The sequence below is a fragment of the Homo sapiens genome, chromosome 15, assembly GCF_000001405.40.
Source record: "Homo sapiens chromosome 15, GRCh38.p14 Primary Assembly".
Taxonomy (NCBI): Eukaryota; Metazoa; Chordata; class Mammalia; order Primates; family Hominidae; genus Homo; species Homo sapiens.
Genome location: NC_000015.10, coordinates 67,085,382 through 67,109,733, shown reverse-complemented (window position 1 = coordinate 67,109,733; position 24,352 = coordinate 67,085,382). Strand labels below are relative to the sequence as shown.

The 24,352-nt window shown below is 48.5% G+C and overlaps 1 protein-coding gene across 5 annotated transcripts in view, besides 10 other annotated features; it reads right to left on the bottom strand.

The window, feature by feature from the left end:
* SMAD3 (SMAD family member 3) overlaps positions 1-24,352 on the bottom strand; it is a 129,568-nt gene that overhangs the window by 85,436 nt on the left and 19,780 nt on the right. The window contains exon 1 of one of the 5 annotated variants that reach the window (NM_001407014.1): positions 10,710-11,055. The exons of the other annotated variants lie outside the window; for them this stretch is intronic. Coding sequence (NP_001393943.1) covers positions 10,710-10,768 — 59 coding nt within the window. The 5' untranslated portion in view covers positions 10,769-11,055. Of the gene's footprint in view, positions 1-10,709; positions 11,056-24,352 lie in introns of those variants that run through there. 5 annotated transcript variants of the gene reach the window in all.
* Positions 1,746-2,945: an enhancer, noted in NCBI's record as "P300/CBP strongly-dependent group 1 enhancer chr15:67399127-67400326 (GRCh37/hg19 assembly coordinates)". NCBI's record gives its function as "activates an origin of replication core promoter dependent on BRD2, BRD4, P300/CBP, MED14 and CDK7 cofactors, with strong dependence on P300/CBP, by STARR-seq in HCT116 cells {active_cell/tissue: HCT116}" and the evidence as "EXISTENCE:reporter gene assay evidence [ECO:0000049][PMID:35650434]".
* Positions 2,549-2,843: a silencer, noted in NCBI's record as "tiled region #14539; HepG2 Repressive non-DNase unmatched - State 14:Gen5', and K562 Repressive non-DNase unmatched - State 8:EnhW". NCBI's record gives its function as "represses a minimal TATA promoter and a strong SV40 promoter by Sharpr-MPRA in HepG2 and K562 cells {active_cell/tissue: HepG2 | K562}" and the evidence as "EXISTENCE:reporter gene assay evidence [ECO:0000049][PMID:27701403]".
* Positions 3,198-3,897: an enhancer, noted in NCBI's record as "H3K27ac-H3K4me1 hESC enhancer chr15:67398175-67398874 (GRCh37/hg19 assembly coordinates)". NCBI's record gives its function as "activates a minimal SCP1, AML or CMV promoter by ChIP-STARR-seq in naive H9 embryonic stem cells {active_cell/tissue: H9 hESC(naive)}" and the evidence as "EXISTENCE:reporter gene assay evidence [ECO:0000049][PMID:30033119]".
* Positions 8,619-8,768: an enhancer, noted in NCBI's record as "active region_9623". NCBI's record gives its function as "activates an Ori minimal core promoter by ATAC-STARR-seq in GM12878 lymphoblastoid cells {active_cell/tissue: GM12878}" and the evidence as "EXISTENCE:reporter gene assay evidence [ECO:0000049][PMID:35858748]".
* Positions 11,000-11,501: an enhancer, noted in NCBI's record as "H3K4me1 hESC enhancer chr15:67390571-67391072 (GRCh37/hg19 assembly coordinates)". NCBI's record gives its function as "activates a minimal SCP1, AML or CMV promoter by ChIP-STARR-seq in primed H9 embryonic stem cells {active_cell/tissue: H9 hESC(primed)}" and the evidence as "EXISTENCE:reporter gene assay evidence [ECO:0000049][PMID:30033119]".
* Positions 12,715-12,764: an enhancer, noted in NCBI's record as "active region_9622". NCBI's record gives its function as "activates an Ori minimal core promoter by ATAC-STARR-seq in GM12878 lymphoblastoid cells {active_cell/tissue: GM12878}" and the evidence as "EXISTENCE:reporter gene assay evidence [ECO:0000049][PMID:35858748]".
* Positions 15,080-15,850: an enhancer, noted in NCBI's record as "H3K27ac-H3K4me1 hESC enhancer chr15:67386222-67386992 (GRCh37/hg19 assembly coordinates)". NCBI's record gives its function as "activates a minimal SCP1, AML or CMV promoter by ChIP-STARR-seq in naive H9 embryonic stem cells {active_cell/tissue: H9 hESC(naive)}" and the evidence as "EXISTENCE:reporter gene assay evidence [ECO:0000049][PMID:30033119]".
* Positions 18,556-18,645: an enhancer, noted in NCBI's record as "active region_9621". NCBI's record gives its function as "activates an Ori minimal core promoter by ATAC-STARR-seq in GM12878 lymphoblastoid cells {active_cell/tissue: GM12878}" and the evidence as "EXISTENCE:reporter gene assay evidence [ECO:0000049][PMID:35858748]".
* Positions 19,212-19,728: an enhancer, noted in NCBI's record as "H3K27ac-H3K4me1 hESC enhancer chr15:67382344-67382860 (GRCh37/hg19 assembly coordinates)". NCBI's record gives its function as "activates a minimal SCP1, AML or CMV promoter by ChIP-STARR-seq in primed H9 embryonic stem cells {active_cell/tissue: H9 hESC(primed)}" and the evidence as "EXISTENCE:reporter gene assay evidence [ECO:0000049][PMID:30033119]".
* Positions 19,729-20,246: an enhancer, noted in NCBI's record as "H3K27ac-H3K4me1 hESC enhancer chr15:67381826-67382343 (GRCh37/hg19 assembly coordinates)". NCBI's record gives its function as "activates a minimal SCP1, AML or CMV promoter by ChIP-STARR-seq in primed H9 embryonic stem cells {active_cell/tissue: H9 hESC(primed)}" and the evidence as "EXISTENCE:reporter gene assay evidence [ECO:0000049][PMID:30033119]".

The following is a 24,352-nucleotide window of genomic DNA, read 5'->3' as shown; positions in this document are numbered from 1 at the left end:
AAGTTCAGCTCTGGGGTTTTCTCAGTCCATTGGGTTTTACTCATCCCTTGTCCATTAAGTGTGTTTCCCCCTCTCGCTTTTCCTTCTTTGTGTGCGTGTGTGTTTTAATTATTCCATGGCTCTTGGCTTGCTTTCATAACCTCACATTAACATTTCTCATTGCTACTGAGAAACAAGGCATTCCACCCACTAGAATGCAAAGACACCAGAGAGAATTCCAGCTCTGTGCAGGAACCCCTGGGGAGAGGGTCAGTATCCAATCACCAAAGAGGAGGATGTAAGACTTACATGCAGCATGGGGTACTAGCCTCTCAGGCCACGAGGTCCACTCTGACCTTCTACCCATTTTACAGATGAGGGCCACAAGTCCCAGAGGGTTAAAGTGACTTGCACAAGGTCACCCAGCTTCAATCAGGGCAAAATGACTCAATTTTTCAAAACTGCTATCACAAAGCATTTTTCAGTGCATGGCAAGCATTCCACACAAAAAGCATTTGCACACACAAAGAACTTACAATGAAAATTATGTCTTACAAGTTAACAAGCCATGAGAATGTTCTAATCATCAAGCATTAAAAATACCCAAATGCATATTCATCCCATGCATTCTTCGACAAGTATTTGTGAAGTGACCATGCTTTATCAGGCACCGTGCTAGGTGCTAGACTCCAGAGACACGAAGACGAATAATAACTGGTCTTCGTCAACAAGAACTCAATTGTGAGACAAAAGCCAACTTGAGGAAAATTAAGCCTATTTCAAACATGCCTTGATCTGTGTAACATTCATAATACATAATATCTTCTTTGATCTCCACAGTTTTCTCTCTACCTCCAGATCAGTGCAATCTCTGGTTTTCCACTTTTTTTTTTCTTTCCAAATGAAAATAGAGCACAACTGTCATTTTCAATCTACTAAGTCATAAACCACAAGGCAGGCTGCAAGGACCAAATGCTCCGTTTTAGAACGAGCCCAGTGCAGAGAACAGAGTCCACACCACAAGGCAGGGAGCTGTGGTCCAGATGAGTGACATGCCCTTAGTGACCTGGGTCCTGGCCTCCGACCCAGAGACCAGTCCCATGGAGCCCCTGTCCTTGAGGGCTCACTGCCTGGGACTGTGAGAAGAATAACCCAGAAACCAATGATTTCAACATATCGTGGTGTGTGTCAGACCTAGGCATGCTCAGCAGCTGGGGGGACACATTTGCAGTGGCCAGGAGGAGGGGGCATCTGAAGGCTGCTTCCTGGAGATCAAGATGGGACTACGTTTTGGAGGAAGTAAGTTGAATAGGCTTGGGACATTCCAGGCTGGTATGGGCAAAGCAAGGAGGCAAGAAATGGCTTGGCACAGGGTGGGGAGGCAAGCAGGCTTCTAGTATCATCAGAGTGGGGATTCTCAACCTTTTTGGGCAAAGCATGGTCATTTTCAATTCCAGTGATTTTCACAGACCTCTCCCATGGTGGCAGTTGTACTTGAAATCAGTCACTCCACAAATGCGTAATCCCTGCCCATTTACAGCAATAATACAACCGCACAGAGTCTGCAGCTGCCAGGTTGGAAAGCTTCTTACCGGAGCCCCCGAGGGCAAGGCCAAGTGAGAGGAGATGGAGGACGCTGTGCAGACCCCAAGGGACAAGGCGAGTTATCCCCGAAGCACTAGGAACCACTGGACGGAAGGGTTCTAACCAGGGAGGTGCTGAAGCAAGATCTGTCCTTTAGAAAGATCACCCTGGGCACAGCGCGGGAGGTGGTGGGGGGGTGGGGGGGAGAGGAGAGCAGATCCAGGGAGGCTGCTCGGGGAGATGACCTGGAGGCCCAGTCACCTAGGTGAGGGAGGATGACTTTCCACACCAGATGTCAGTATCACAGAAGCCTCAAGCCTCAGATAATCCTCCCTTCCAAAACCTAAAACAAACCCAAAATTCCCCACTCAATTTCAACAATAGTCAAAATCAAATGGCTCCTCCTCTATCAGGCCATATCCCTATGGAAGGGAAGGGTGAGGCTTTGGGGTGGGTGAGGGCAACAGTATGGGGCAGGGAAGGGAAGTGGAGGGACAGAGGGAGGCCCTGTCCATGCAATAACCACAGCGACAGGCAGTGACTTAGGCTGGGCAAACCAAGTGACCGTGGCAAGGCTCAGAGAGGCGGGAAGGGCCGGGGGAAGCCCCTCTCCCATCAGAAATTACTCGCAGCCGAATGACGGACTTCATCTGTCTCTGCCTGCAGGTGACCACAGACTGCATCAGGAGGGCAGGAGGGCAGGAGGGCATGGCAACAAGGCTCTCCCCTTGTCTGGCACCCCAGAAAGCAGAGCTGAGAAATCTCACCCTGGGAAGAAGGGTGGGGTGCTTATGTGGTGGGAGTGGCGCAGCAGGTGGGAAGATTTCGAGGCTCTGAAAGGCCCACTCCCCTCCACCCAGATAAAGCTACTTCTCTCTTGGTTTCCTTGGGGCTATCACAGTCACTGTGCCTGAAATTCCCACCATTTGTCATTCCTTTGGCATCCAAGGCCCAATGACTGACTACACTAAAATCTTCAGTTAAAGCATGACTCATTAAAATCTTTTTTTTTTTTTTAATGCACTCAGTAAACATTTATTGAGGGCTTGACTGTTCCAGGTACTGTGCTGAGCCCTGGGTGGGAGAGAGGGTGATGACTAAGGCTTGGGAAGTCAGGGCTAGGGAAGCCGACAGAAGCCAAGTCGTGCAGACGGGGCCCTGTGAACTCAGCTAAGGAGACTGGACTCCACTTGGACTCCCTGGAAAGCTACCAGAGTTTTAAACCACTGGGGAATGATATGTTTTGATACCACCGTTCTGGGTCCCCTGGGGTAATAAATACTATGCCATTACCACCATTAACACCTTCGTGTGAATTAGGTAATCAGATAAGTGTCACCTTGCAAAAGACTGAGATGTAGGACTGATAAGTTTTGATGCCAGAGAGTGAAGCCAGGAAGAGCCAGTGCTCAGTGGCTACCACGCGGGTAACGGAGAGCAGGGGACAGACCCCAAAGGAAGCTGTGTGTGGGGCCATCACAGCATAAGTGTCCTCCACATATGATGTACGCCTGTAAATAGTTACTGAGCTCCTTTGATCTGGGTCCTGAGCATAGCAGAGAACAAAAGAAATGGCCCCTGACCTCAAGAGGAAGACAGACAGTGCATAATCACAGATTTAGAACTACAAGCTGGAGTAGGGTCTCAGAAGGAAAAGAACAGTCTCTGTGAGAGAGTGTATTGGGGATAGAGTTAAGATGAAGGGGAGGAATTAGAAAGGGCTCTCTTAGATGACATTTAAGGGGAGACCTGACTCACATTCGCCAGCTGAAAACTATGGGGACAAGCATTCCAGGAAGAAGGAACAGCATGTGCACAGGCCCTGAGGAAAGATACGTAAGGTCAGGGTAGGCCTGAGAGGTTGAGATTTGAACCCTTGTTTGGGATTCAGACCCTCATTCTCAAGGCAGCAGGAAGCCCTGAACAATTTTCAGCAGATATGACAGATGACAGATGTACATTTCTTAGAGATCATGCTGGCTGCCGGTGGAGAATGGGCCCAGTGGAGAGGAGGGTACAGGCAGGGAGACCAGGTAGGAGGGAGACGGGGCCAGAAACATCCTGATTTGGGTGAGGAAGCAGCAGTGGAAATGGGGCATTGGATGAACTTAGATATTCTGGGGGCAGAACTGACAGGGCTCAGTGATGTCCTGGATGGTGAGGGAGAAGGAGAAGAGGCTAAAATGATTGCTTCCTGAGGTCTGGATGGTGGTGCTTTTCACTGGGAAGGGGAGGCCTGGAGGAGGCTGTGCAGACGGCAGGGAGGGCCGGGGAATGAATGCAGATGAAGCCTTCCATTCAGGACATGCTCAAGCAAGACCTTCAGAGGCAGCACAGCACAGATGTCAACAATGGGCCCTGGCCTGACCTAGGGCAACAGGAGGCATTAGCAGGCCCTGCGTTGCTTCAGGCAGGTTGAAAACCCCACGGGATCTCCAGCCAGGGCATCAGGGTAAGAGACACATTCCTGTTTCTCCCTCCTGTGCCCTGTCAGAGAGAAAGGCTTTCCCTTTTCTGGAAGTGCCAAAAATGCAGCACAGGAAACTCATTCTGCTGCCAGAGTGACTAATATTTATCACTGGTATATACAGTAGCCATTCTTCAAGGCCATGAATTTCTGCCCACAGCTAGAGCCACAATTCTCTCAGCCACCCTGCCCAAGCTCAGCCCTGCCTCAGCATTCCACAGGGCTGAATAATACTCTTTGCTTCCCGTAGGGGCTCTGCTTACCCAACAGCCCGGCATCTTCTCAGCATCCTGGACTCACCGCATACAGCTCAAGGTTCAAGGTTTCCACTGTGGCCGTGGAGGTGCGCCATGATCTTGTTCCCCTACCCCTCCCTACCCATCCTGCCTGAGTCCCCACCACCAAACAGAGGCAGCTACTCCCTCCCTGTAGAACGCAGAGGAAGGACACAGAGGGCAAGAACTTTGGAGAGCGCCTCATCCAACCTTTTTGTTTACTAAGGAGTAAACTGAGGCTCAGAGAAGTCAACTGACTTGCCTAAGGTCACACAACAGAGCTGAGACAAAAACTCCAGGCCAGGGATCTTTCTTTGGAAAGAAAGGGCCAAAGGTGGCAAGGCCTCCTGACAAACAGTGCCTCCTGTTCAGGGAGGTGAGATGGAGCCACAGGTGGCTTTGATACTGAGAGACCCCCAGGAAGCAGACAAGGAAGAGCAGAGCCACTGGGAAGCCTGCAAGATCAAACTCTGAAAGAAGTCTGCACGCAGCTGCACGGTGTCTGTCCCCAGACAGCTTTCAGATGGGAAGCAGCTTTCAGTACTAAAAGGGGGAGAAGAACTGGATCCCAGGACATAGACCCCAGTTCTTAATGGAAACGGCTTCATTCCTGCAATGCAGTTTATACATTTATCTAGGCCCAGAGGTCTCTGTCAAGAGAAGAGGGTGGGCAAAGCCCACAGAGGAAGTACTTTCTTGTGTGGCAATGACCATCGGGGAAACAAGATAACACGGAGTATAGTGATCCAGTGTAAACTTGGCCATTTGTGCCAAGCCCTTTGCCAAAGTTATCCGTCTTCGGCCACCTGACGGAACAGAGGGCACTCATGGGAAAACAGCTGGAAAAAGGACACTGCCCCAAATTAGTACGAATATTTATCACTTACTGGGGGCCACGATAAAGGCCCTATGGGGCTGGAATCCTTTCCAATCTCAGGTGTTCCTGGACTCAGGGATAATGAGGGGTGACTGCAAAATGCAGAATGCCGGGGAACACAGAGGACAGCCTGAGGGCAGGCCCTTCCTAGAAGCTCCATCTTCTTCTAGAATCAGATACATTGATTAGTGTCTCTTCCCCGATCAAACCTGCGGCTAACCATGACTTGATGTATACAGTGACACCCTATAGCTGTGATGAGAACTGGGAAGGCATTCATTCATTCAAACACTCAGTGAGCACCTTGTAATACCAAGCATTGTGCGAGACGCAGGGATTACAGAAGTTGAAATATACCCACTCCTGGTGGGGAAAAGTTCTTGGTTGTCAAAAGTTGGGGGCGGAGATGGGGGGCAGACGAAAATCCTGAAATCCGATCTTATCTGTCTTCCTGCCTTTGAGCGCTGCCACAACAAAACCAGCAGAGGCAGGCACTTTTAAAAATAGGGCCCGTTGTGCACTTTCTCGGCTACGCACCCCTTTCCTTCCTCCAGGCTTCCTGTCTCCCTTCTGTACAGTCACCACCAACTACCCTTGAACGTCAACACCTCTGGAAAAGGTGAAATAATTCTGCCACCTTCAATACGGCAAATAGCCTCTCTAATCAATCCAAGTAAGTGTTTATGGCAATCCAGCAACGAGTTTGGCACAAAGAAAGAGGTCCAGGGTGGTCACTCACGGTAATGTCAAAGCCGAAACGGTGGATCCAGAAGCACTGACAGTTGGAGGAAACCCTCCTCATTGTTGCAGCTCTGTTCCAGCTCCTTGTTGTGCTATGTGCTTAGGAAAACCGCACAGGGGTGGGGAGTCCACACACAGGCCCACACCCCACACACATTCAGCTCCACAACCAGCAGTCACAGCTGGAAAGGGTAGCTGGGCTGAGGAAACTGCAGCCCAGGGAGGGTGAGTGGGACTCAGGGATCCTGGACTCCAGGTCAGTAGCACACACCAGCACAGCGCCTACCCCAGAAGCCCTGGGCCAGACCCACCCAGCCTTAATGTCAGGGCACAGTTAGCCTGGACACAAAACCATGAATAACTCATGTTTGCATCGTGTTCTGCTGTTTTCCAAACTCTTTCTCATCCCTCACTCTCTCCTGATCATCATGCAGTCTTCAATACAGTCAAGGTGGGTCCTGCTATCCCCTTGTCGAGTGATGTGAAGTGAGTCCCAAGGAGGCCATGTGCCTTGTGTGAAACCACACGGAACAGGTTCAAGTGTGTAGCTTTTGCACGACCTTGACTACACTACCTTGACTATAACTCTTCCACTGGGGTGATGGGAGGCAGGGGCAAGGAGTTAAGAAAAACAACAAAAAGAACAGTACAGCTCCATACAAAGGAAGTTGACAATCAAATTTGGGCAGATGAATGACACACAGACAAGCTGCCTTCACAGAAAAGAGCCAAATTAATGCATTCAAAAATGTGTACTGAGCACGTACTACATACCAGAGCTGGGAAGTGAGGCAACAGACCATTCATAGACAGTTAAGACTAAGGAGATGGGACCTGTTTTGGGTTTGAAAGAAGAAAGGTACAGAGGAGTCTAGGAGAGCATCCCAGGAAACGTAATGGGGAGCTAAAACATGGCAGCAGTTGTGGACAAAGCACATTGAAGAGGAGCTATGATGAGCCTCACCTGGGAGGAGCAGAGGGGCTGCACAGAGGTAAATCCAGAAAGCGGTCACTTCCAAAGAACTTTAAATACCAAGCTAAGGGACCACGTATCATGCCTACAGAAACATGGTATATCCAGATCTTCCCAGTCCATTCAACGTCACTCCCTGCAACTGACCAGCCAGGACCACCAAGAGGTTCAGAATTCTACCTGTTTAACAGAATTCCCCATCATACATTGGATGGTCTTGCTCCCATCTCACCCAGGACAAGTCTATACACACAGGTCATCCCAGTATGGCCCTGAATTAGCACCTTGGACATACAATTCCCACAGATGAGGACAGATATGAACACTCACAAATCCACTCCACTGCTCAAAAGAATGTGGTGGAAGGCACACTTTCTAAAGGGCTGCATTTCACACATTTTAAGTGGTTTTCACACATTTCTGAGCAAGTGCATGACTGCTGTATGTGTATGAACATAACAAGTTTCAAAAGGGAAAAAACAGTGGTTAAATCTGACTCATCCTACTCTCCTGGCTTTTTTCTTTCTCTCAACACAAACTCATGCACGCGAGCATGCACACACACACCGCACACACACACACACACACACTTTCACAGCATTTCCCCCAAGACTGATCTGAATAACATGGTGGGCCTCGAGGCAGGAAGGATTCACTGGGTCAATTATCCTCATTCTGAACAAGCTCGCCTTCCAGGTGACCCATGAAAACACAATTTAACCATGAACTTCCGGAAGGCAGGACCTGGTTCTACTCACACAGCCTTAAACAGATCAGGTGCCTCATAATCCGATTTGATGGAAGAAATAAATATCAGCGCATTCCAAGCCCTGCTTCCCACAGCTAAGGCTCTCCTAAAGACAAAGGCAAATTCAGCTGTGTCAAGTACAACTCCCAACACAAACTAGTTTGCATTCATTCTTGTTTCTTTCAGTGGCACCCATCCTTGGGTTTCATTTCAGTAAGAGTCTCAACAGCTAACAAAGCACTTTAACGTCCATCATCTCATGCAGATGCTTACACCAACTCCATAAGATAGGAGAGGCCAGAAATATCATTCACATTCAAAGATGAGGACTCTGAATGTGAACAACCTTTAGGTCACTTTCCTAAGGTCATGTAGCTAATCAATCTCGATCTTGTCATTCCTTGCCTACGGATCTCACCTCAGTTACTGAGAGTATAACTGAACTTCCAAGATCCTCAAACCTTATTCAGCTTCTCCTAGGGATTACACAGATATTTAATTCAATTACAGCTCAGCCTGTTCCAGTGGCATCATCATCACTGTCATCATCATTGCTATACTGGCACCGACCAGGACAGGATACAAGAGCTCGACCTCAGAGAGCAGGCAGGCCTACCCAGTACATGCCAGAGGGTGGGAGAGTCAGGGGGCTTGCTAAATTTGAAACCTTTTTCTGACATCCAAGTATTTAAACAGCTCATTGACTCCCATACGTAAATATTACTATAAGCTACAGTTTCATTTACCCTGTGCTGGGGCCAACAGGGTTTGAAAGTAGAGTAAGCATAAATTAGGTACTGGAAAGTTTCTTATTTCCTGTAGTGTCAGGTGTTCATAGTCAAAAAGAGAAGAAAAGAAGAAGCAGTGTCACATGGCAAGTCTCCCAACAAACACCAAACGTATGTATTTGCACACAATTAGTCCCTTTCGCTAACTGCCCAAAGCGAGTAGCACAACAGGAATTGTTCTAGACACATCCACAAGGACACAACCCAGGACTTGGGATATTTCTATTTCTACTACAAAGCCCCAGAGCCTCCTGAGCCTCACCTCAGGGTGAGACAGACAGTTTCCTGAGCACCCATGGAAAGCACAAAATGCCAGGTGGAATAGAGCTGATCCTCAGTGACCCAGAACATACCCAAAGACATAAAGGAGCCAAAACCCCCTTTTCCACTGTGACTTCCCCAATAGAAAGTGAGGAGGCTAGAAGCCAAAGCTCAACTCTGGTACGCTGCTCTGTGCCCTTGAGCAAGTCACTAGCACTCTCTGGGTCTCTGGTTCCTCATAAAGGTAGAGCCTGGATTGGAAAGTCCCATTCTTTCTTCTGCCTCAGTGTACACGTAAATGTCCCATTCCTTTCTTTCCTACCCAATACAAACCTATCAGAAACTAAGTCAGTGACATGGACACCATTAGAGGAATACATTTGATTTTAATATATATTAAAATCAATTTATATGTTTATCACAATATATTGATATATTTATCACAATATATCACAGTATATCACAATATATTAATATTGTAATTAATACATTTATTAATACATTAATATATTAATACATGCAGCAAAAATCTACCATGTTAGCCATTTTAATGTGTATAATTTGGTGGCATTGAGTTCATTCACAATATTGTACAACCACCGCAACTATTTTGTTCCAGAACATCCCTCAAGGAAACCCTGTATCCATGAAGCAGTCACTCCCCATTCCCCTCTCCTCCATCCCTGGCAACTACTAATCTGCTTTCTGTCTCTGTGAATTTGCCTATGGGGATACTGCATGGGAATGGAATCATGTGATATGTGGCTTTTGATGTCTGAATTCTTCAACTCAGCACAATGTTTTCAAGATTCACCCATGTTGTGGCACATACTTCATTCCTTTTTTTTTTTTTTTTTTTTAGATGGAGTTTCGCTCTTGTTGCCCAGGCTGGAGTGCAAGGGTGCGATCTCGGCTCACTGCAACCTCTGCCTCCTGGGTTCAAGCAATTCTCCTGCCTCAGCCTCCCAAGTAGCTGGGATTACAGGCATGTGGCACCATGCCCGGCTAATTTTGTATTTTTAGTAGAGATGGGGTTTCACCATGTTGGTCAGGATGGTCTTGAACTCCTGACCTCAAATGACCCACCCACCTTGGTCTCCCAAAGTGCTGGGATTACAGGCGCAAGCCACTGCGCCCGGCCACGTACTTCATTTCTTGGCTCAAAAAATATTCCATTGTAGAGTGGAATATGCTTTTGAATTAATTGCTAAGTAAATCATTCACAGACTGTAGTACTATTATTAGCAACAATTAAATAAGATAATCTATGTAAGGTATGGGGCACGTGGTGTGCAATCAGTTAGCATTCACTTTTCATCATCAACAAAAATTCCTCATAGCACACCTCGCTGGTGGTGGTGTCATCACACCTTACTTGGGAATCAATAGGCTGGAGGTGTCATCCAGATCCCATCTTCTGAGTACATGAATCAAAACATTTCTGCACAAGTATTACATATTCCCCCAGTTCTCCAATGTATGCGGACCTCTGGCGAGTAAACCTTCCTTATGCAGTAACCATTATAAGCTAGCAAAACACTGGAACCCTTCTTCAAGTAATCTTGCCACATGAAATTTACCAAAACAGAAAATCCTTGGGGAGGTGGTGTAATTCTCCATTTTTCAAAATGACTTACAACAGGATTCCTTTAAATGGTTTTCCCAGTAGTCTTAAAACACAATTCAATTTGCATAATCAACATTTCAACAACACACCTTCTCTATAAAATACTATGCAGCTGTCTGAGCTGGGCTCCAACTTTGGAGGACAGTGATGCTTACAAGACATGAGGAATTGATGTCTGCTTTTCCCCATAATCAGCATGCTGAATCCAGAGACAGAAGTCCTTAGTCCTTATCCCACTTTCCAGCCCTGTGACTGTGAACAAGAGCGGCTACTTCTTCTCATGTCAGTGTATTCCCAGGAATGCAGAAGTCACAGCCACTTTCTCTAAGGCTGACACATGAATCAACAGGGCGGCAACCACAGAAAGGAGAATTATCATGGGTACTCACAGAGTTGATCCTCGCTCAGGACATACGCTCTGTCCACAGTTTGGGGCAAAAGTCCACATTTGTGAAGCATTTCAGAACACTGTCCCATCTCCATGGGCTGCCTGACCCTCCTCCACACTGGCCCCCTCAGGAACGGAGTCCACCCTCCCATCCATGTATGCCCTCCCACCGTCCCCAAATCCCCCAGCTGAGCAACAGTGGGCCCTCAGACCCCCGCTGGGGATGCGTAGGACCCTCCATGCCCACTTCCACCTGCCTTCCGGGGGCTGTGGAGGCCTCCACAACCAAAGCAAGCCTCCCCAAGTGTCCTGTGGACAGTTCTCTCCCAACTCCCGAAGCTTGTTTTCTTTAATTAGCTCACTGTGGCAGGAGAAAAACGCGGCCCCACCCTCGAAATAAGCAGATCTGGGCCTCAAATGTACTCTGTGGTTTGCCTCTGTGCTGCCAAGCTGTTCGCCAGGGAGTGACAGGCTACCGGGGCTGAGGAGGCAGGGGCAGTAAGAAACCCCTGCTATGTTGAGATAGGCCTTTTTCTTCCTAACATCTGACATTCATTTCTCAACCACAAGCTGGGCTGCACCCTTTCCTGAGTCCCTGAAACCTGCGATTGTGGTTCCAATTAGGGGACGATTCCAAATCCTGCTGGCTTGCTTGCTTGCTTGCTCGCTCGCTCTCTCCCTCCCTCCCTCCCTCCCTCCCTCCTTCCTTCTTTTTTAATCTGTCTTGGGTGGTGGGGTGGGGGGGCAGTTTAGGCACAAAGCCCAATCCTCTCATCTCACAGATGATGAACTGAGGCCCAAACAAAGTAACTGCTTCTTGGAGTCTCTCAGGACAGTAGTGAGCAGCACTTAAAGAAACACTGAAGACTCACCGTGTTAGCTCTTCCTAACACCAGTACTTAAGTTTATAAACGATTTCTCCATATGTCATCTCAGCTGGGTCTCATCCTCTAAGGCAGGCACACCCACGAATGCTCCATTTGACAGATGCGTAAACCAAGGCTTAGTAGGGAATGGACAGTCAAAGGTCATGTGACTAAGAGTGACAGTGTGAGAGGACCAGGATCCTTGAAGACCTTCAAACACTACAATTTTTCTTTCATTCCAGTAACTTCTAGAGCACAGCCTGAAGAACTACTTAGAAGTCTGAGGCAGAGGCTCCCTAGAATCGTACTCACAGAATCTTGGAAGTTAGACCTTGAAGGCCAGGATTCCTAGAGGATACTACTTTTGGTCCTAGCACCCACAGGAATTGTTTCTTCCTCCTCCCCTCATTCTTCACCATCATGACCATTGCTAGCATTGATTCAGTCCCATGGACCAGACACAATGATTACTCCTCCCCCTGCTCTCATTTCACGCTCATGACCATGCTATAAGATAATTACCATTATACCCATTTTATAGATGGGTAAACCAAGGCTCCAGGAGGCTTGAACAACCTGCCCAACATCAAACAACTAGTTAAGAGATGGAGATAAGGCCGGGCGCAGTGGCTCACACCTGTAATCCCGGCACTTTGGGAGGCTGAGGCAGGCAGATAGCCTGAGCTCACAAGTTTGAGACTAGCCTGGGGCAACATAGTGAAACTCTGTTTCTACAAAAAACAACAACAAAAAACAACAACAAAAAAAACATGAAAATTAGCCCAGCATAGAGATGTGTGCCTGTAGTCCCAAGCTACTCAGGAGGCTGAGGTGGGAAGATCGCTTGAGCTGGGAGGTCAAGGCTGCAGTGTGCCAATATCATACCACTGCCTTCCAGCCTGAGTGGTGGAGGAAGAACCTGTCCCCTACAAAAACAAAAAACAAACAAACAAAAAAAACCACAAAAAAAGGACAGAGAGATGGAGATAAGATTTGACCCAAGAATTCAGCCTCCAAGTACCCACATTTTTAACAACTACACTGCAACCAAAAGACTGAGGACTGCCTGATGAAGAAATGACTCACCCAAGGAGACCATGCCTGAGTTAAGAGTCAAACTAGGGCCTCTCTCTCAGCTTACTGCTGGATCACCTCTATACTAGGCTGCCCAAAAATTCACAAAAGTAAATGCTCAGGAGACCCCCAAAGCACCTTCAACAAGAGTATGTTTGTAGCCTCTGAAATTCCTCAACTTTTTATCTCTATCAACAGAGCCACCACCACCTGGAAGCTTGGAATCTTCAGAGCAAGCACACATGCTCACTTGCCTATATGATGCTTCTTAGCTCCGCAACCCAGGAGACAATGTGAGCAGACCAGGGATCTAGAGGCTGCACGTGCAAGACCAGCCTGAGACCTCCAGCCCCAGGATGCCAGTCAGGGTTGGCTGCATAATTTGTGGGGCCCAGTGCAAAATGAAAATATGGAACCCTTTGTGCAAAAGGCAAAAAAAAAAAAAGTATCAATCATGGTACTAAAATAGAAAGCTTTTTCTCTTTCCTCCACAGTCTCTCTCTTGATGTGTCATGGTATTTTTAATTTGCTATTTAATATTATTCTAAGTAAAGCAACATTAAAATTTTAAATTACATGAATTAGCATGAATTTTACCACTCCTATTTATATTGTGTGATGCCAGTTTTAACTGCAAATATAAAAAGCCTTTAACTAGTATGTGGAATCACCAACATTACATGAATTGTATTTTAGGACTTGGATGTGCATTTTGTGATGTACCAGAACCAGAGAAACATCCATAAAGCTAACTCAATCGTTTTTACTTCACTTCTCGCTATGTGTCCATTCTACCTCACTCTTTATGCTGCCTGAGGAGTAAGGAAGATCTGAAAGGAAAAGGCAATATGGGTGCCCTATCTTTCCTTTCCCTTCTTCCGTCATCATTTTCAATATAAGTGGTTGGTGTCAGGGAAGTGACGTGAGTAATAAAGGATATGATGGGGTTCTTTGGTCGTTGATGTTTCTTAGAATGTCATCGCCTTCTTTCTACAACCAAGACAAGTTCCAGTTAGATGGAAAGCATCAGGACTGTCAGGGCCCCTGCTACTCAGTCGCAGATGTGACATCTCACACTCACTTTGACTCTCACTCAACTCCCCCACATTGTAGGTCCGGCAGAAGTCTGTGCTCAAATGCTACATGTGAATGGGGCAGAAGGCTCAATGGGCACATGCTGCCCACATCTCCTCTATCCATGCTCATGCTCCAAAACACTAGGTCAAAGAGAAAATTATTAAGAATTTCAAGATGGGCCGGATGCAGTGGTTTACACCTGTAATCCCAGCACTTTGGGAGCCCAAGGCTGGATCACCTGAGGTCAGGAGTTCGAGACCAGCCTCGCCAACATGGTGAAACCCCACGTCTACTAAAAGAAATACAAAAATTAGCTGGGTGTGGTGGCAGGTGCCTGTAATCCCAGCTACTCGGGAGGCTGAAGCAGGAGAATCACTTGAACCCGCAGGCAGAGGTTACAGAGAGCCGATATTGAGCCATTGCACTCCAGCTTGGGCAACAATAACAAAAAAAAAAAGGATTTCAAGCTGGTGACAGCAGAGCATTAAACCAAGCATAGGGCCCTCCTGAGCATGAACTCTATGTGACTGTACTCGTCACGTGCCCATGAAGATGGCCTTGATGACAGCCACACCTGTGTAAGGACAGGCTCAAGACACACTTCCACAGCCATCCTTCCATTTGCTGGCCAGTTCACCCAAAGCCAAATTAGGTTAGGACCCCACACTCTGAGGCCCTGGGTCTCAGATATGACGGCCAAAGGATCCAATACTGAAACACAAAAAGGATCTGGGTTTAATGCTCACCCACCTCAGGACCAGATGAGCCAGAAGACTTCACTGGCCTTCTTTAACCTTTCTAAGGCTGCCACACTGTGTGACAGCTCCTTTGTCCACCCAGTAAAGCAGGGGAGGTGAGCACGCAGCCATCTTTTGATATGCTTAACACCAAGGGGAGAGGAAGGGACCAACCAACCATTTACCAGCTCACAGCAAGGTGGTAAACACTAAGCAATGCCTTGTACATATGTTGACTCAATCTTACAACCCTAACAGACAGGTAACATTTTACTGCTGGAGAAACTGAGGCTCAGGGAAGTGGCGTGACTTACCCAAGACCTGCCCAGTCAGCTCAGCTGACTTCTCTGGACTTATCCACATCCACGGAGACCCCCTCATGCAGCCCTGCCATCCGCCCAGAGACTGGGTTAAAACTCAAGTGCATTTAATGCAAGAAAAAAGAGTGCAACTCTTGACTCCAAACGCTCTGGAACATCAAGTCAGGAGCACCCTGGAAGGGTCTGATTAAAGGGTTAAAGCAAAGGCTCCTCTGAGACACGTTAAATGTATGTGGCCACATCTTTGCCTACATCAGTGCAGCCCCACGCATTTCCCTAAATGCCTGTAAAGCAGATCTCACATAATTATGATCTTCAGCTCGGCCCTGGCCACATTAGAAGTAATATATATTTATGGAGTGAAAAGCTCAGGTCCTGCCTCTAACACAGTTATTTACACTCATCAGGGCCTGCTCCAGCAGGCCCTGCGTTCCATGTTATCACACCCCGTCCTGCCTGGTCACAGCCCTCTCCTCAGGGTAGCAATTTTGAGCAGAGTTTGAATAAGATTGTCTCGTGCCAAGTCTGCTTTAGAAGGCAGCCAGGTAAATGCCCTCAGCCCTGCTCAGGAGGAGCCACGGGGTGGGATGGTGGGATGAGGGGCCCAGAGCATCAGCTATTCACCCAAAAGCAGGATGAACAGGAGCAGCTGGTTCTCTGGTCCCAGAAGCTTCGCCTCCCATCTTGATGCCACTTCTGGTCACAGCCCTAAGCGTAGGGGAACATCTGATGGTTGGTGGATGGCCACATCTTCTGACTCGCCGAGGTGCAGGCTGACTTCCTGGGTCCCTCACACCACAGGCCACCCCACGCAGGCCTCAGGTGGTCCCACTGCCTGCCCTGAGGACCCCTCCACAGGATTGGTGGTCAAGGGCCTGGAACACTGGAAGTGTGGGCCTGGGAAGCACCGTGGTCACACAAAGAGCCCTAAAACAGAAAATGCAATCCGGGTTCAGATTCCTTGCCTGTGTCCCCTCGGGTAAACCATGTGCCTTCTCAGAGCCTTGGCTTCCTCAGCCATCAACAGGGGGAGGCACCAAATGAGATCAACAAAGACGTCCGCACCACTTCACAGAACTCTGCAGGTGGGGGACAGTCCATCCTCTCATTGGCCCAAGAGGCTTCTTTTAGGTGCTGCCAGAGGCAAGAAGATAGGAACCACCAGCTGCCTTTGCTTCCTTCAGGTAACCGCCTCCCAACCAGTGCTACCTCGCATGCCAACACAGCGCTGCAAGTCAGCAGGCACCCCGACCCAGTTCCTCTTTCCCTTCTTAGCAGCAGCAGCTCTCTGGACTCTGAGGCAAAGTGGGCCTCTGTCTGTCCCCTTGGGATCCAGTTTGCTCACATCCTTCCTCTTAAATGATCTGCGCCTTGGCCACTTCTTGCTAGACTCCCCGCTTGACAGGGCTGCTGGGAAGACTGAGAGAGAGCAAAGTGCACAGACGACCCTAGCTTGCTACCAGTATCATCTGATGCCAGGAGCGTGACAGTCACAATCCAGCCACCCTTCCTACCTCCACTGGCAAATCCTGATTATGCACCCCTGCACTGGCAGTGGAATGAGAGGCTCACCGAGGTGGCGAGGCTGGTGTGGGCCCTGGCAGAGGTGTGGATCCTGAAGGCTTTATATTCACAGGCCCGCTAAGGTGTTCAAGGCAGTTTTTGCGTCCATCATCGCACCTGATTTGCATCAACATAGAGGTTTTACAGATAAGAAAAGTACATCTCAGAGAGGTTAAGGATATGCCCCGGAATACACAGCAAGCTCAGGGAGCCAGGAGTCCTGTCCTGACACCAGGGTTCCTTCCCCTCTAACAAGTGGCTAGACATGAGTGAAAAGATAGTAACTGTAGGGTTAGATGAGCACCATTTACAAAGACAGGGTGAGGAAGGGAAGTTAGACTATAGATTCCAAACTCTCAAGTCCAGTCTTCCTGTTGACTCAAAGCAGGCTACAAGCCTCCTAAGTGTTCATCATTGATTTTCAGACCACACAACTCAGGGATGGGCATGGGGGCCATTTTCCATGATGCAGAAGCTGGCTGTTATTGCCACACCTCCTTCCCCAAAGCTCCAGAAGACCCAACATATATGGAACATCGTGCCTGTTATTACATTTAACCGTCACAGCAACCCCATGATTTGATATTTTTAGCTGTTTAACAGAAGAAAGAAGAAACCCATTAAGAGGTTAAGAGCAAGGGCAGGCTTGGGCCTAAAGGGGCACAGCCCTACCAGTCCTGTGCCTTTTCCGCTACACCACATTCCCCTGGACAAACTCCCTCCACCACTCCTACCCCCAGCACCCTCCTCAGTATCCTGCCCCCAGCTTCCACACGGTGCATCATTGCCTATAATCATGATTGTCAAGCTCAAATGCACATCAGCAGCCCTCGGAGAGTGTACAAAATTCAGACTGCTGGGACCGCCCTCAGGGTTTCTGATCCAAGAGGCCTGGGGGCGGGGCCTGAGACTCTGCATTCCTAGTAAGTTCCCTGGTGATGCTGACGCTGCTGGCCCAGGGCCACACTTTGAGAACTGCTGATTTATAGTAATTTAAAGTGTTCACCTAACAGCTGGGGAATGGTTAAATGCGGTTCATCTACTTGATAAAATATGTGTAATTATGAAAGCCACATATAAGAAAATGCTGATAAAATATAAAATTAGAGCATCAGGCTTGCACCCTGTGCTGGTCCAAGTCCAGTTTGCCCTCTGATCCATCCCTCATCTTCCTGTGCTCTGCTGTGTCCTCCCTGGGGCTGAGCCCTGACTTTCCAGGCTCCAGATCAGGAGGCCTCCAGCAGGGTTTAAATAATAGGAGGCTCTCACAGCAAGTAGTGGGTAGGAGGGAGGGAGAGGCCACAGTGTTTCTCCCCTCTCTCCTTTTCTACCTTGGGTCGGCAATTTTAGAAGCAGCTGCAACTGCTCTAGACAGGCCCACTGGTGACCCCAACCCTGGGCTCTGGGAACACCACCTGTTCCCTTTGTCCCTCCAGCCTAAAGGCAGCGGCTTCCTCCAAGTTCTGGGTCACCTCACCTTCCCATTGTGGCTTCTCAGCTGCTTTATCACCTGTGTAACCAAGGTCCCGTATTAAATTCCCTTTGTGCTAAATACCTGATGTAGTTCCTCCTTCCCGTTTGACTGACACACTGATTACAGCAATAAGCATAAAAATGCTTATGCAAATGGACAATTCTAGAAGGCTATTACCTTCTAGAATTGAGAGCTTGGTAAACTTATGTTTTCTTTCCCCAAAAAACTTTAGAAGAGTGTCAGTTATTATTAATATATAAAACAGACACCAAATGTACAATTTAAGAGGAAACAGAGGTGAGTCTTTACGTGAAAAAGGTTGGGGAACTATGAATCCATGACAATGAATCTAAGGAAACCAATCCCTGTACTTTCATTTCTAAAAACACCTTATTTTGGAGAAACCATGGCCACAGCCACAATGATACAACGGTTTCCCCTGAAAGTACCGGGTGGTTATCTGGGGGTGAGTGACTCACTGGTTGAAGAGGTCACATCATGTATCACCGCAACACCGGATCCTTAGCCACTGCGGAAGGGCAGGCTACTGGCAACACCCCAAACCGCCTTCAGCCATTTGTTACCGTGGAGGCAGGTCCTATCTCTCCTGTCAGGCTCTGGCCTGGAAGCCATCTGGGAAATCCCTCCAGAGGAGACTGGGGCCTGGAGACGGCTGGGGGAGCAGGAATAATACGCAAAGATGTTCAAAGAATAAGGGGACTTGGTTCAGCCATGCCCACCATGCACCATAGCAATGTGTGTGCCAGGGCATGGGCAGGGCAGGGAGGAAGGTGGTATCTTCTTTTTCCACCATTTCGAGGATCTTTCTCTCCAGAGGGCACAATTAAAATCAAAAGAAACAGACTCCATGAAACCAGATGGTAACAATACAATAAATTCTCCTGGATTCCTGCACTGCACTCTAACAGCCCTGAAATAAACAGTTTCCTCCTCGGAGCTCAAGACGCAACCCTGCAGCAGGTAATCAAGTGTTCAAGTAGGGAGGGAGGGGCTTGGCCTTGGACCAAACACAGTTTGGTGGTCTGTTTATAATATTTTAGCTGAAACACTGCAAACAACAGATCGAGAGGCTTACTGCTGTCACGGGTTACTTTCAGACCCAAGTCAAAGCTGATTTAAATCCCCAGAAAACAGGGAGATGGGAGTGCTGGGGAGGGGAACTGCAGTAAGGAGAAGCATCTAGGGCTTTCAGTGAAATGTGAGTCTACCTTCCAAAATCCCAGGGGACAACAGCTCAGCCTCTAAACACTTGGAAAACCAGGATTCAGCCTATAGTGAGTGGTTCACATCAGAGCCCATAAGCAAGCATTGAGAAGTGTTTACCACCCTGCCCCATCGTCCCCAAGAAGTGGACATCATCATCATCCTGCCCCATTCTTCCCAACAAATGACTTGCGCAAGTCACTGCCCCGCTCAGGAGCTCAGTTTCCCCCAGCTGTCAATGATGGGGTTGGGCTAGATGATCAGTCAAGTCACTTCTGAACAGAGGAGTAACTTGTGGCAGGGGACTCTTTCACAGCCTCTGAAGGAAATCTGAGTACCCCCAAGTTGAAGTTCAGAGAGGTGAAATGCCTGTCTCATGAGCTACTCAGCAGGAAAGTTGGGATTTTTGGCAAAATCGGACTCGAGACTCCCTGCTCTTCCCACCACCCCAGGAGAGGCACCAAGATTCTAAGCACTGCATTCCTTCAGAGTCCACCTCTCAGTCCTGCAAAATGGGAAGCCCTGACCCTGAGTAAGGTGAACCCCGACTCCAGCCACTCCCAGTGCCACCTGTCACCACCCCCTTAGGGTGGTGTTCCACTCGGCCTGGGTGTGCCTCCCCCTCGTGCACACTTGTCCACACTCCCATGCGGGGGCAGCCCTCCAGGAGAGGGTGACCTCAGGAAGCAGGAGCCTGTGTGGCTTCAGAGGTGAGGGCAGCAAACCCCAACACTACTGCTGGCCACTGGTTAGACCACCGAATGCTCCATCCAGCTCATGCTTCCCCACCCCCAACATGCAGTGGTGCTACCCACTTACTGCCTGGCCGCTTCCTAGCTATATGCCCTGGGCCAAGTCCCTCAGCCTCTCCAAGTCTGCGCCTGCTCATCCAGACTAGCACCCACTTCCAGGGACTGTCAGGGAGATGAAACGAAATGACGTGTGGGAAAGTGCTTTGTAAACTGTAAAGTGCAGTACGCAGGAAAGTAGTGGTGTCCCCCTTTCCCAGTGACATCAGTTGGAAAAGAATTCATTCTTTTCTGAGGGACACGAGGAGAGCACACATGCCCACGCACACACACTCCCCATGGGCATTTTTTTCTGAGGCAACACAGTGTAGACAAAGAACTCTGTCAAAGAACTGAGGGCTGGCCTCAGTCCCTGTTCCTGCGCTAACTGTAAGTTGTGCCTGATCACCTGCAAAATAGGGATAGGACCACCTTGCCATGTCTCCACCCAGGGCAGTTGTAAAGATAAACCAATGGGAAGGTGCTCTGCACATGACCAAGTATACAGTGCACTTTCCCACTGGTGTGACTCATCACCCCACCGGGAGGCTGAGGACGAAGACTGGCATAGATTGAAGGAAATTTGGCTCATTTTTCTGCTATTCAAGATCACCAAGAGGCTCAAAGAAAAAACAGTAAAGTAGCAAGGGTCATCTGGCAGGCAGAGCAGATGGAGGAGGTATATCTGGGATTTCTGGGTGTCCCTCTGGGGTCTCCTAGCCTGGCCTCTTCAGAACTAAGCAGCCATACACCCCTTTTTTAAAGGCCCACTTTGCAAGAGAAGGCGGCTAGGTGTGCTCCACTCAGGACTGTTTGTGCAAATGCTTTATTTGGGGTCTCCCTGGAACTGTGTGGGCCAGGGTGCTGAGGGACCTTCCTTCTGAGCCTACTGGGCTCTCTGGAGAAAGGTCACCCTGACAAAGGTCTCTAGTCAGCCCTATCCACCCCACATGCTCTCCAGCACCCCCTTTTTTTTAAGACAGAGTCTGGCTCTGTTGCCCAGGCTCAAGTGCAGTGGCGTGATCTCAGCTCACTGCAACCTCTGCCTCCTGGGTTCAAGTGATTCTCCTGCCTCAGCCTCCTGAGTAGCTGGGACTACAGGCACCCGCCACCACACCTGGCTCATTTTTGTATTTTTAGTAGAGGCAGGGTTTCACCATATTGGTCGGGCTGGTCTCGAACTCCTGACCTCGTGATTCGCCCACCTCGGCTCCCAAAGTGCTGGGATTACAGGCGTGAGCCACCGCACCCGGCCTTAGCATCCCCTTCCCACCCTAGAGCAGCTGCCCCCTCCCACTCGGGAGCATTCTGAAATAGCCTTCCTAGCAGCGCTGAATTAAAAGTGGTGTGAAGCAGCAGCCAAACACCACTGTGTTTCCCTCGCTACCGCCCCACCGCTTGGGCCCTGGGCAGCTTTGCTGCATTTGTGAGGTTTTCTCCCACAGCTTTTCTCGCCTGCCTCCCCCGCTTCCACGTGTTTTCACACTGGCAGATGCTCTCACCTAGCCTGGGCTGGATTCTCTGTCCCAGTGTTTCTATAGTGGGCTTCCCTAGGCCCCTGCCCACCCACCTCACCTCCTCCAACCCAACAAGTAAAGCTAAGACAAGAACAGTGAGATCCCAAGTCTATCGGGAAAGCCGTTTAGCATCAAGTAACCCTACTGTGCACCCATCTTCTGGGCCACGGGCTCCAGGGAGAATTAGTCCCAGGTTTGGGACTACAGAAAACCAACCCCAGACCAGAATTACACACAGCAGCACTTTATCACTCCTCCTGCGATAAAGGTGAGAGTAGGGGATAAACTAACAAATGTGTGACCCCTCTCCGCTCCAGCTCAAGGTTTTTATTTTTATTCTTCTAGTTGAGACGGAGTGATCACATCTGAGCTGTCAATCAGCTGGGCCATGTCAGTACAAGAACTCTGATCTAAACCATGGCTTCCAAAGGGCTTGGCTTGCTCCACCCATTTCAGGCAGGGCTGGCATCACAGCAAAAACAATTTCAAAGCACAGAGACCATAAACACAAAATTAAAAGGTAAAGTAAAAAGGGAGGAGATGTTTACTGGAAACTTAAGTTCTGCTGCCCAGAAAATATAAGTCTTTTTTTAAACACATGCACAAACACACACGTCTATATAATGCCTCTGCCACCTCCCCCACCACCTTAAGAAATGCATACTTTGCTCTATACAGGGCTTTCTTATCTGCTCCTGATTACACTCAGCTAGTGACCATGAAATCTGGAATAATCACCCGCCGGGAAAGGAAAGCCTTGGCCACAACCAGGGCCTAACAAAGCCAGCTCTGCATTTACTGATGATCACACAACTTGCTCACATGACAATCTTGAGTTTTCTGATGCACAGATAATCACTCCCATCCATACCTGAAATGCAGCCACAGCTGAGAGGGTGCCAGGTGCCTACTGAAACCAAGAACAATCCTATTACACGGTATCTTAGGGTCCAAAGAGAAAAGAGTTTCCAACTGAAACTATGCAGGAAACTCAGGTGGGCAGATGGTAATCATCAAAGCAGGGATCTGGCAAAGAACACCCCCCCACTTGCAGACAAAGAAAAAACCTAGAGGAAAGTGTATTCCTGAAAGCAGAGAATTTTCATGGGAGCAAGAACATGAAGTCATTCTTGCTGCCAGTGAGGTGCCAACTAAGGCTGCTTCCCAGAGACACTGACATCACGTTAGAAAGGAGAAGAGGCTGGTGCTGTGGCTCATGCCTGTAACCCCAGCACTCTGGGAGGCTGAGGTGGGCAGATCACCTGAAGTCAGGAGTTCAAGACCAATCTGGCCAACATAGTGAAACCCCATCTCTACTAAAAATTAGCCAGGTGTGGTGGCAGGCGCCTGTAATACCAGCTACTTGGGAGTCTGAGGCACGAGAATCGCTTGAACCTGGGAGGTGGAGGTTGTAGTGAGCTGAGATCGCACCACTGCACTCCAGCCTGGGCAACAAGAGCGAAACTCCGTCTCAGAAAAAAAAAAAAAAAAGGAGAAGATATGCAATGTGATAGTGGGACCCGAGTGACTTGCTTTTGCTTGCTCAGGTCCACGTTCCTTGATCCATGTGTCCCATTCCACTCTCCATGCTCTGTCTTCTGATCCTCACTGTGTGGCCAGGACATAGAAGGTCTTCACTGCTATCACGTGACACTATAGTTCCTGAGGGCAGGAACTATATTTTCCATTTCTAAGAGTGCCTTGACAGATTCCTCATTGAGCTGAGAAAATAGCAACCTACATCTGGCATGTGTCTACAACTGCATCTCAAACCTTGTTATTTGTAAAGCTTCTCATACCATCCCCCTTCATCTGTGAAAGCCCTCAAGGGCTTTCAGCACTGATATAGTCTCCCCTCCTAGGGCGCATTTCACACCAATTAAGGATCCACAAGCCCATCCCTTTACCTGAATGAGATATTCCAACTTAGCTGCCCCTTCCCAGTTTGACCTTTTCTGTTAATATTTTAATGCAGAGAGATGTGTCCCATCAGATTTCTTAGGCTGTAGATACTGATTCCCTTCAAGGGCTGTTTAGATGCTACTGCTGATGAAGTGGCAGGACAGGATGCTCTCAGCCAAAGACAGGGACACTCTCTCACCAAAGCAGCAGGGAGTAACACACACCCCTACAGCCTTCACAGCCCCTAGAATCCACCGGGGCAATGCCAAAGAACTGACACTAAGGTATGCTGGAGTTGGCTAAGGCCTCTAACTTAGTTTCATGAAAAAAGTGTGGGCATTTGTAAGGGCCTGTTTAATCCATTCCAGCTCCACCCCCCTGCACCACCCCCCACTTTGTACTGTGAGTTTCTGAGCAGAAATAACCAACTACAGATGGTTTCACTACTTCAAAGATGTTGAGAAACCACTGACCCAGAGATAGGAGGGAACTGGAACTCCAAACCTCAGGGCAACTACTCACCACCAGCACTTGTGGTGACCAAATCAACACACTTCCAGAACCTAGAGCTGTTCTCTGTGTATGTGTGTGTGTGTGTGTGTGTGTGTGTGTGTGCACGCTTTTTTTTTGACCAACCACTATCACTTTCCACCCAGAACAGATGCCTGTAACACTGAACACAGCTTTACATAAGCATCTATGGCTGTGATTCTCAATCCCGGCCACATACCGGAATCACCTAGGAAAGTTAAAAAACATGGATTTCCCCAGGCCGGCCTGTAGAAATTTGAAATTCACTGGTCTCCAGGGGTGGTCTGAGCATCAAAATTTTTAAAAGCAGCCATGGTTGAGAACCTTCCATGGTAACACCAACAACCAATTGCAAATCATGAGGAATCAAGAATCCTAGCCCTCACAGCCCACCCTGAACCCCAAACCTCTTTCCATCCTGTCCTCAACTGCAGGCCCCCATTTCTAGTCCAGAGTTGACTATACAGTGATTCTGAAACTATTCAAATGAGTAATAGAGTCATTTCTTTGAATGCAAGTGCAGGAATCAGAGTTTTTAAGGTGGAAGAAACTTTAAAATCCTGCTAAGCCA